The 11,781-nt window shown below is 37.8% G+C and overlaps 1 annotated feature.

Moving 5' to 3' along the window:
• Positions 11,240-11,299: an enhancer, noted in NCBI's record as "active region_21844". NCBI's record gives its function as "activates an Ori minimal core promoter by ATAC-STARR-seq in GM12878 lymphoblastoid cells {active_cell/tissue: GM12878}" and the evidence as "EXISTENCE:reporter gene assay evidence [ECO:0000049][PMID:35858748]".

Genomic DNA, 11,781 nt, shown 5'->3' with positions numbered 1-11,781 from the left:
TAAATCTGCACTATATCATTAGTTATTTTATGCCTTTAACCATCTTTTTAAATATATGTATGCTTTTTCAACTCTCTTGGTCTCTCTTTCTTCAAAGTTTTTCCCTCAATTTCCCACTGTTATTGGTAGTTCAACCAGTAACCTATCTCTTCGCATTTAAGAAAGTGGCTTTCTTCTTGTACCGCCACATCCATGAAAGGAGAAAAGCCCTCAGGAAAAAGATGGGTAAATGGGTAGTTCACCAACTGTATTAGTTTCCTAGGACTGCCATAATCATGTACTATAAATTGAGTAGGTTAAAACAAAGAGATTTATTCTCTCTAAGTTCTGAAAGTCAGAATCTGGAAGTTAACCTACCAGCACAGCCACGTTATTTCTAAAGGTCTATGAAATAATTCTTCTTTGCCTCTTCAGCTTCTGGTAGTCCCAGGAGTTCTTTGGCTTATGACTGCATAACTCCAATCTCTGCCTCTGTGTTCACATGGTCTACTTTTCACTGTGAATTGTTTTCCTGTATCTTCTCCTTTTCTCATAAAGGCAATGGTATGACCTCATCTTAAGTAGTGACATCTGCAGAGACCCTGTTTCCAAAGTCTGAAGTTCTGGTGGATGTGAATTTTGGGAGACACTATTCAATGTATTAAACTTAGTCTGCTTCTTTTCTTACCAGGATTCTATCCCCTTCTGGTTTTGTCTAATTTGGTTGTTCTCTAGTGCCTTAAAATAGTTGCTTTTATATTGATTCCATTTTTCATTATTGTTATTAAGTGAATGGTTTGTCTAATACAAGCTACTTTGTCATGAATAGAACCAGACTTCCCCCTCTAGTTTTCCTTTTCTCAATACTCTTGAGAGCAGCCTGCAGTTGTTGTCATCCATCAGCTTTATTCACTAGATTATGTTGTACAATGTTATATGGATAATGAAAACTCAAATAGTATTATATTAAGTGCATCCATGCATATATCTACTACTAAATTAAAATATTATATTGCAATGGTATGCTTGTAACTTTGCTACAAAGCTGAGTGTGTTTTTGTATACACAATGCCTGATTCAGTATGTGATGTATTCTAACAACTCAAAAAATATTTATTTAATAAACAAGTTTATAATTGAAAGAATATGGAGGAAAGGAAAGAATTGACATGATCATTATATTACAAAGACATAAGGAACCTACTCAGATGTATAAAAGCAAGAAGAAAGCAAAAGAATGAAGTTTGAGTCTGATTTTGGTATAACTAATCATTTTAATGAAAATAGATAAATTTAATAAACAGAAACTAATGTACCAGATAACATGGTAATTACATTATATATAGTATATTTTAAATTTCAAATTAACTTTGTGAGATATCATTCTTAGTTCTTTTATCTGTTGATGAACTGACTCCTGGCCAGACCATTCTACTTCAGGTGACTCAGCTAACTGCTACTTGGAACTCTAACTGTAGAAACTGTACTCAGTTTTCTCCTGTGGGTTTTGATTTAATTTTTAAATAAGTTAAATTTTCTCAACCATTTTAACATATAAAACCTTTCGGGGATCAATTGATTCAGTAAATTAAATATAACCTAATTTGCACGAGAATAATCGGGCTCAGGGTTAGACTTGCAAATGATGTTCTTTTTGGCTTTTATGAACAAGTCTGAGAGGTTTGCAATTTAGGTTTACTAAATTGGTCTCTTCACTAAATGTAAAAGAGAGACAGAATAAACATGTCAAAAGCTGAGCTTAGATGGAGAGCTGATCTGACAGATGTCAGAGTAGCGATTAAGAGAACATGTCAAAATGAAAACAACAGTCAAGCCGTTAATCACCTACAGCAAGAGGATAAACAGAGAAAACACCAACTCCCCCAGTGTTCCATTTTCCCCATGGAAAGGTGCCAAGTGAGTGTCAACTGTATCACAACAGATGAGAGGTGCATTGTCTCACAGCTGAGGGAGTCCTGTATAAAAGACTCCTGATATTTTATGGACCGAGGAGTTAGAGGGAGAGTAAAGGTGAAGGGTTAGGAGTGGAAAAGTAATGAGAACTAAGTTCAGGTGAAGAAAAGTATTTCCAGGCTCTCTCCTTCCCCTCTATAAGTAGGTCTCAGTAGAGGTGGCTAAGGAAGTCCTCAGGGAGAGCCCCTTATAAAGAAGACTCCAGTGGAGGCAACTGGTCTAGAAATGCAGCAGTGAGTAAAGCATGGCCAGCAAGGAGGCCAGAGTCTTGGCTGCAACTACCTTCAGAGGCTGCAGTGCACTCTTTGTGCACCACACTTGGTGTGGGGAAGGTAGTTTCCTCTGTGAGGCCTGAGAGGTACAGTCTTTGTAATTGCCTATCATCAGGACAAATGTAACACACACAGGATTTCGGCCTAGAGTTGGACTTCTTAGTTTTGTCATCACTTAAAGAGAAATAATCTACAACTATGTTAAATTGTTGTTTCTGCTGTAGGAAATATATTCTTTAATAAAGGCTATTTGTTACACATATAGAATACCAACTAAAATAGTCCAGCTGTTATTCTCATATTTTGGGTTGAAAGACTAGTAATGCACATGCAATTTTCCTGGAGTAATGGAAGAGCTACATGGCCCTGCAGTGAAAAGTGCTTGAAAAATTTTACATAGAGCCATAATCACAATGCAGAACTCTGCAAACATTAGAATTATAGAATGATACACACATTTTAGATAAGATCTCAGTAAACATTCTATTTTTATTTCTGACATTCTATTGGTAATAATGACTTGTCAGTTTTGTTGAAGACAGTGAAAATAGCCTCAAATGAATTCTTATGTGGTAAAGTGTTCAATTGTCCTCTGAGTCATGCTCTTTGACCATTAATTACATACATATATATATGAAAACTTAAACATTTAAGATTCATGTTTTTTAGGTTTAACAAATACTAGCCTACCACGATGCCGTTACATATTCAGTAATACACACAAAATTTAACAAAGAATTCTTTTGCTTCCAGTAAAGGGATTACTCACATTTTTTTACTAGTAAATCCACCATTGGATAACTTTCTGTTGAGAAATCTGGGGCAATATCTTCCACCTCCAGTTTCTCAATTCTCCCCAATTTGTGTTTATGAAAAAGTTTATAAATATTGACCAAGGATCTCCCAGGTATCCCAAGCTCACCCATCAACCATCAATCCTAGTCATTACTTTCAGAATGTACTTCTTTATATAGTTGAAAATGCAATGGCTTTGTTATTTGTGAAACAATGAAAAAGGGGTGTCCAAGTGGATGCTAACCAAACTTGTACATATTTTAGAAGACTTTCAGAAAGCGGCATCTAGAAACAAAATGCCATAGAAGAAGCTTTATTAAAATGGCTTTACAATGCATTCTAATACTGAATCTTGTGACCACAGAGGTATATTAATTTTATTTATTAATACTTAACTCTATTGAAGATATCTGTGGCAGAAGGGTTTAAATTTGTGTGAACTATTTTTGGGGCCACTGAAAAATACTTGGGGTGTGTGTGTGTGCATGCGTGTGTGTGTGTGTTTGTGTGTTTAACTTTATCAAACTATTAGAATAACTCCAGGAAACCGGGACATTTACATAATAGAAAAATAAAATATTTTACTGAAGATTCCTCAGAGTATCCAGTTTAATTCTACTTTATTCCATTCATTTTTGTTTATGAATTAATTGTTCAACTTTCCTTATTCCGTATACAATTGGATCATGAATTAGTGATCCACAAGAGTTTAAGTAGTTATTTAGAAAACCAAAACACTTCTTCCCCCTCATTACCTTCATCACTCAATGATTTCTGTTTCATCATTTGGCGCTATGGTTTGAACGTCCTTTCCAAAACTCATGTTGAAATTTAACTGCCATTGTAATGGTATTGATGGGAGCGGTAGCTCATCTGGAGCAGCCTCTAAAATGTGCCAACTGCCGCAGGGGAGTCGCCACCAGGGCTGTGTGCTCCACGGGTCGGGCAGAAGACAGGAACAGGTGGGAGCCCCACCACCTTCCAAGTTGCTGGGGCTGGAGCCCCGGCCTCCAGGATATAGCTGCAGCCGCCAGGCCCTGGCAGTAGACCCAGGCATCCCTGCGCTCTTGCGGCTGGGAAGAGCCCTGCCCCTGCAGGCTTGGAAGTGCCTGTTCCCACTGCCTGACCTCTCCCCACTCCTGATGCCCACTCTGATTTTGTAGCAAAGTTGAGGCCAAGCTTGGGTGCTCTCATGACCCTTCTCGGTGTGCGCGTGCTCCAGGCATTGCTGACACGTCAGTCCCCCGCTGCCTTGGCCCCTCCAGACTTTGAGTGCCGATGAGCACAAGAGGGAGGCCAAGGAGAGGCTTAGGGCAGTTCAGCGTGGTCCATGAGGCACTTCTTGGCACAAACAGCCTGAGTGCTGTGTACGATATGTTGATGATGGCGGGAGACAGGTTCCTGGGTAGAGAGGAATGGTCCCGGTGAAGCCCAACTTCGAGCCAGGGACAGCCTGAATCCCGGGAGCCAGGCTGTCAGTTATGTGTGGAGTCCGAAGCCCGGAAAGAGAACTTACCGTGCCTTTTTTTGGACCTGCCCATGGCCACCCATGGACCAATCACCATGCACTTTGGGCCACCCCACCCACGGGCCAATTAGCCCCCCTACCCCCACACACTGAGCCAGACTCAGACAGATGTTGGGAAAACCTGCCAACCTGCCAACCTGCCTGCATATAGGAGCTATGCAGCTATGCACTCCAGGTCTACTCTGAACTGGAGACTGCAGACGTCAGGATGACCTGCCTGCTGATAGGAGCTATCCACTGTGGGTCCCCTCTCCACTGAGAACTGGACACTCACTGGGACAACCTGCCTGCATAAAGGAGCCACTTACTTTGGGTCTCCTGAGAGCTGTTCTGCTGCTCACTGAAGCTCCTCTCCACCTTGCTTACCCTTCAGTTTTCCACATATCTCATTCTTCCTGCACATGGGACAAGAACTTGGGACCCGCTGAATGGCTGGACTAAAAGAGCTGTAACACAGACAGGGCTGAACCACCCCATACTCCCTGCCACATTGTGGGTAGAGAGAAGGAGAGAAGTGCTGTGGCCCTTCAGGGACCCCAGACCTAGGGATTCCCAGAGCTTGGGCCATGACACCCCTTTGGCGCTCTGCAGTTCCTTGCATCTCCAAGCTTCCAGGCACAACCACATCCCTCTCATTCAGACACGGGTGTGTCCTGTACAGCAGAAGCTGTGTCCTGTACATCTAGTCCAGCCACAGCCTCAAATGGAACTGGCATCTGTGTCGGTACCTGGAGCTGCTAACCCTTCTGTGTAGCAGACAGCTTGCCTGGCTGTGCTCAGTGCCTGGAGCCCACTCTCACTTGCCTACACACCCCTTGTTGCTCCACGCCTGGCTTGCCCTTGGCAGGTGTGGGATCCAGGCTGGTAGCACAACCCGAGCACAGCCTGTCAGGCTGAGGTGCTGTGGCTCACACCTGTAATCCCAGCACTTTGGAAAGCTGAGGTGGGAGGATCACTTGAGCCCAGGTGTTTTAAACCAGCCTGACCGACAGAGTGAGTCCCCAGCTTTACAAAAAATTTAAAAACTAGTCAGCTGTGTGGCTTGTGCCTGTGGTCCCACCTACTAAGGAGGCTGAGGTGGGAGAAATGCTTGAGCCCAGGAGGTCGCACTGCAGTGTGTCATGATTAGACCACTACAATCCAGCCTGGGTAAAAGAGTGAGACCCTGACTCAAAAAAAAAAAGTCTCATACCCACTCCTCTCTGGTAGGTTTGCTTGCCCTTCCACTTTCTGCCGTCTATCCTGTATGTCTTCTTTTGAGAAGTGTCTGTTCATGTCCTTGGCTCATTTTTTAATGGGGTTCGTTGTTTTTGCTTGTTGATTTAAGTTCCTGATATATTCTTGATATTAGACCTTTGTTGGATGCATAGTTTACAAATAATTACTCCTATTCTGTAGGTTGTCTGTTTATTCTGTTGATGTTTTTTTCACTATGCAGAAGCCCTTTAGTTTAATTAAGTAATTAATTAATTAATTATCAATTTTAGTTTGGGTTACAATTGCTTTTTAAGACTTAGTCACAAATTCTTTCCCAAGGCCCACGTAAAAAATTTGTTTCCAAGGTTTCCTTCCAGAATTGTTTTTTCCAGAGACTCATTGCTCACTAATAGAATTCTTATAGTTTAAGGTCTTATATTTAAATCTTTAATCTATTTTGAGTTAATTTTTGTATATGGTGAAAGAAAGGAATCCAGTTTCATTCTTCTGCATATGGTTAGCCAGCTATCCCAGCATAATTTATTGAATAGGAAGTCTTTTCCCCATTGTTTGTTATTGTCAACTTAGTTGAAGATTCAAAGGCTATGGGTGTACAGCTTTATTTCCAACTTTTAACCATTTCTTAATTGCTTGCATGGTCCAATAAGAAGTATAACAAAAATAATTGATATGTGTTTTTACTAGCACTTTGTTCATAACTAGTATATTGTTATGGTTATTCTCTTTTTAATTTACACTGGTAAATTAACATCATGTATCATAAATAATCATGTATCATAAATAATACATAATAATCAATTTTTTTTCCAAATCTGCTACTAATAATTGTATCACTAGCATAAAGTGAGAGACAAATATTAAGATATCATATATAAATCCAGTAACTGTTTCCTAAGTGCTTCTGACACCTATTTTTAATATTCTCTGCTCTGGTTACATTTCAGACAGTATAACTGAATCAAAAGTCTATGTCAGTTATTCTTATTTTTTCCTATTTTGGAAAGAAAATAAAAATAAATATACATATGGAACATATACTATACATTATGTAGATTTACATATGTATATTATGTGTATCTATGTTATGTTTATGTACATATGAACATCTCTACATATGTATATTTCAATGCTAATTTCTCTTCAAAGTCAAAAATGTGGATATGAAAAGAATATAGAACACATATAGACATCTACTTTCTGTGCCATAATTAATGAATGGGTTCCAGATAGTTGCCATCTCTTGCAGTACTGACAACGACTGTTCTTCTTTGTAAAGTCCAATTATAAGCCAGTTTATTTTTCCTGTCTCCAAGATAATAAAAAACAATACGCATCACTAATATGGTGCAAAGAGTGAACTTTAAAATTCTTATGAAAATTCTCAAACAGTTCTTTTAAACTTTCTATCTTAATCTTCTACATATTTTCTCAAGCAATTAAAAACATAACTATCTTTTCAAGGCATAGTTTAATAATATTTCTTAAGTATATCTAATTTTACCTAAATTCAAAGATGTGATAAAAAAAGTCATAGTAAAAACTTACATTAAAACTTACTGTCTTTTTAATATTATATACAGTTTTTGTTCTTTTAAATCTAGAAAAAGTTATGCTTTACACTTGTTTTGCAACTCTGTCAAAATCATAGATGATTTCTACTATGTCAGGAGAAAAATGAAAAAGGTATTTTTAATACTTTTTTTTTTTTTTGAGGTGGAGTTTCATTCTTGTTACCCAGGCTGGAGTGCATTGGCACGATCTTGGCTAATTGCAACCTCTGCCTCCCGGGTTCAAGCGATTCTCCTGCCTCAGCCTCCCAAGTAGCTGGAATTACAGGCATGCGCCACCACATCCAGCTAATTTTGTGTTTTTAGTAGAGACAGAGTTTCTCCATGTTGGTCAGGCTGGTCATGAACTCCCGACCTCAGGTGATCCGCCTGCCTTGGCCTCCCAAAGTTCTGGGATTACAGGCTTGAGCCACTGCAACTGGCCTTTTAATACCTTTTAAGGGAAAAGGTACTCTTTTAGCCTCCTAATTTCCAGCTTTCTCCAGAAAAAAAAAAAAAAAAAGATTTAGATTAAAAAACAAAACAAAACCAAAAACCTCTGTCACTGAATTTTCTTCTACTGACTATGCTAGAATGGGAGAAACTATTAAAGAAAATCACATAAAATTTCAGTCATTATCTAAAGCATGCAACAAATAATATAGCACTCTATATCTAAACGTAAAGTGGAAATAAATACTTCAACTGCGTCTCAGCATGATATTCAAATTTGGTAGCTTATGCATTAAATGCAGTTTCTTGCTCCCATTTTACACAAACACACATACAGATATATAGATATAGACATAAAATATGTTATGTACATATATAAATATATGTACCTGTAGTAATTTATAATTATTTGAATAATAGTTAAATCAAGGTTAGGAAGAGTGCAGAAGAAACCTATATATTACCTTTTTGTGTTCATCCTTCTGACTTTAAAAATAAGATATAAATTATCAGAGATATTTTCATTGTGATATTACTTTTTTATTTATTAAACTAATTAAGTATGCTGAACCTTTCATGGCATAACCATTATAGTAATTCTTGAACATTTCAAAAGAAAATGATAATAGTTATTATGTTGGACTGTGAAATAATTGGACTGATTTCCAGACTCTACAGAAGATATTGAACTCATGTCATTTAATGATAAAATATAGCTATTGAAGCTTTCTAATTATGAATTTGTCAAGTGGTGGGAGACAAATGATCTGATTTTACTCTTAAAAATGAAGGACCCACAATTCAACACAGGTGTCTGGGGAACGTATTGCAGGCTTTTTTTTTTATTATAGAAAATGTTGAATAATAATGTGAATCCCTGTAGAGAGAAAAATGTTTTCTGACACCAGGAATATTCTATAAAAGAAGCAGGAAAATAATTTCCCTCAGGGTAGCCCAATGAAACACTATAACAGAAATTTCATCTTACTCTCTTCCAAACAAGAATCAGCATTTATGATGCAATAAGCAAGAGCAAAGCACGTAAATATAATGTGTGGTGAGTGTCTGCTTTGTGTGTGTATGTTTTTTTTGTGTGTTTGTAAGCAAATGTGTGACAGAGGGAGAGAGACAAAAGACACCCAATAATTTTGTGAATAAGAATTTTAAACAAATTTTCCTGTGTTCATTGCTGATTTCTCTTAACATTTCTTTATTATTAAAATTACAGAAGACAGCAGTAGTTCAATAAAGTCACTTTGTTTATTCAAGAAATATGTTTTAGGTATGGGAAGATACAACATGATAAATTGTCAAAACATATTCACATGAGTCTTACACCTGACCATTTGAACTAATGATTCAAGAAATACTGGCCATTGGCTGGGTACAGTGGCTCACGCCTGTAATCCCAGCGCTTTCGGAGGCCGAGACAGGCAGATCACGAGGACAGGAGTTTGAGACCAGTGTGGCCAACATGGTGAAACCCCCGTCTCTACTAAAAATACAAAAAATTAGCTGGACGTGGTGGCAGGCACCTGTAATCACAGCTACTCAGGAGGCTGAAACAGGAGAATCACTTGAACTTGGGAGGCAGAGGTTCCAGTGAGCTGAGAGACCACGCCACCGCAATCCAGCCCAGGAAACAAGCGAGACTGTCTCAAAAAGAAAAAGAAGAAGAAAAAGAAAAAGAAATACTGGCCATTACAATACAGAGGTGAACCATTCTTTGACTAGAGAAATATGATCCCGTTAGACACTGCTCCCCAGAAGAGCCTTGTTTCTTGTATTAAACCTGTGTAGGGTTTCAAATTTAACATGTAAATGGCATTTTGGTAGTGGGAATGCTATTTTCTCATTGATTTACAGAGCTTATGTTTTATTAATCTAAATAAATGTACAAAAACTCTTTGACACAATTCAACACTCCTTTTTGATAAAAAATTATCAACAAGGTGATATTTGGAGAAAAATGCCTCAATCTGATAAAGAACATCTACAAAAGTCCCACAGCTAAAATCATACTTAATCTTGAAAGATTCAATGCTTTCTCCCTAAATTAGGGAACAAGAAAATAATGTTGCCTCTTACCACTTCTATTCAACATTTTACTGAAGGTTTTACTTAGGGTAATCAGGCAAGAAAAATATATAAAAGTTTATAAAGAAAATAAAACTATATTTGCAGATGACGTGATCTTGTTTGTGTAGAAAATCCTATGAAACCCACATAAGGAGCTATTTGAACTAAGAAAAAAGTTCAGCAAAGTTGCAGGGTACATGATCAATACACAAAAGTCAGTTCGTTTCTATACACTATCAATAAATCATCTAAAACTAGAATGAGAAAAAGTAATTTATAATAACATTAGGAAGATAAAGTATTTGAGAAGAAATAACAAAATTAGTTCAAAACTTATATTCCGCCCAGGTGAGGTGGCTCACACCAGTAATCCCAGCACTTCAGAAGGCCAAGGTGGGCGGATCACTTGAGGTCAGGTGTTCGAGATCAACCTGACCAATATGGTGCAACCCCATCTCTAATAAAAATACAAAAATTAGCCAGGCATGGTCGTGGGCGCTTGTAACCCCAGCTACTTGGGAGGCAGAGGCATGAGAATCGCTTGGACCCAGGAGGCGGAGGTTGCAGTGAGCCGAGATCACACCACTGCACAGACAGAGAGAGACTCCATCTCAAAACACAAACAACACAACACAAAACAAAACTTACATTCTGAAAACAACAAAACATTGTTCAAAGAAATTAAATAAGCCCAAAATAAAAATTAAGGTATGTTCTTGGATCAAAGACTTATTGTTGTTGAGATGAAATTACTTCCCAAATTTTTCCACAGGTTCTATGTAATCTCTATCAAAATGACAGCTGGCTTTTTTATTTTCGGAAATGAAAAAAAAAAAAAAAAAACAGATGCTTGTAACCATGTGTAATTTTAAGGAGCCCAGAATAGGCAAAACAATCTTGAAAAGAACAAAGTTCAGAGTTGGGGGACTCACATTTCAGATTTCAAAAGTAACTATGAAGTTACATTAAACAAGTCAATATGCTACCAGCATAATGATAGGGATATTCATCAATGGAATAAAATTGAGAGTCTGGAAACAAACCTGCACATTTATGGTCAGTGGATTTTTAATGAAAGTACTAAAACAATTCAAAGGGGAAAATAATAGTATCTTCAGCAAATCAGGCTGGGAAAACTGGCAACGAAAAATTAACATAGATCTAAATGTAACAGCTAACACTAGAAAACTCTTAGAAGAAAAAATATAGAGCATATCTCTATTACTTCAAGCTAGGCAAAACCTTTTTACCTATAATAACAAAAACAACAGTGACAAAACTACAGGATTTCATTAAAGTTAAAAGTTCTTGTGATTCCAAGTTGTATTAGTCTGTTCTCATGCTGCTATGAAGAAATACCAGAGACTGGGTAATTTATATAGAAAAGAGGTTTAATTGACTCACAGTTCTGCATGGCTGGGGAGGCCTCAGGGAACTCACAATCTTGGTGGAAGGCACCTCTTCACAAGGTGACAGGCGAGAGAAGTGCAAAGGAAAGTGGGGAAAGCCCCTTACAAAACCACCTGATCTCATGAGAACTCACTCATTATCAGAACAGCTTGAGGAAACCGCCCCCATGATCTAATCACCTCCCACAAGGTCCCTCCCTCAACATGTGGGGATTATAATTCAGATTACAATTCAAGATGAGAGTTTGGGTGGGGGCACAGCCAAACCATATGACAAGGATATCCTCAAGAAAGTGATGAGACAACCCAGAGAGTGGGAAGAAATCTTTGCAAAACATACATCTTATAAAGAGCATGTATCGAGAATGTCTACAGATACTTTACACACACATACAAATACACACACACACATACATATATAACTCTGACAGTGAAATAATGAAAAGACAAATAATACAATTTTTACATGGGCAAAGGATATCACTGGATATTTTTGCAATTGACTGATAAGTACACGGAAAAATATT

The sequence above is a fragment of the Homo sapiens genome, chromosome 4, assembly GCF_000001405.40.
Source record: "Homo sapiens chromosome 4, GRCh38.p14 Primary Assembly".
Taxonomy (NCBI): Eukaryota; Metazoa; Chordata; class Mammalia; order Primates; family Hominidae; genus Homo; species Homo sapiens.
The sequence above is the reverse complement of the archived record's forward strand: the minus strand, read 5'-3'. Positions and strand labels throughout refer to the sequence as shown.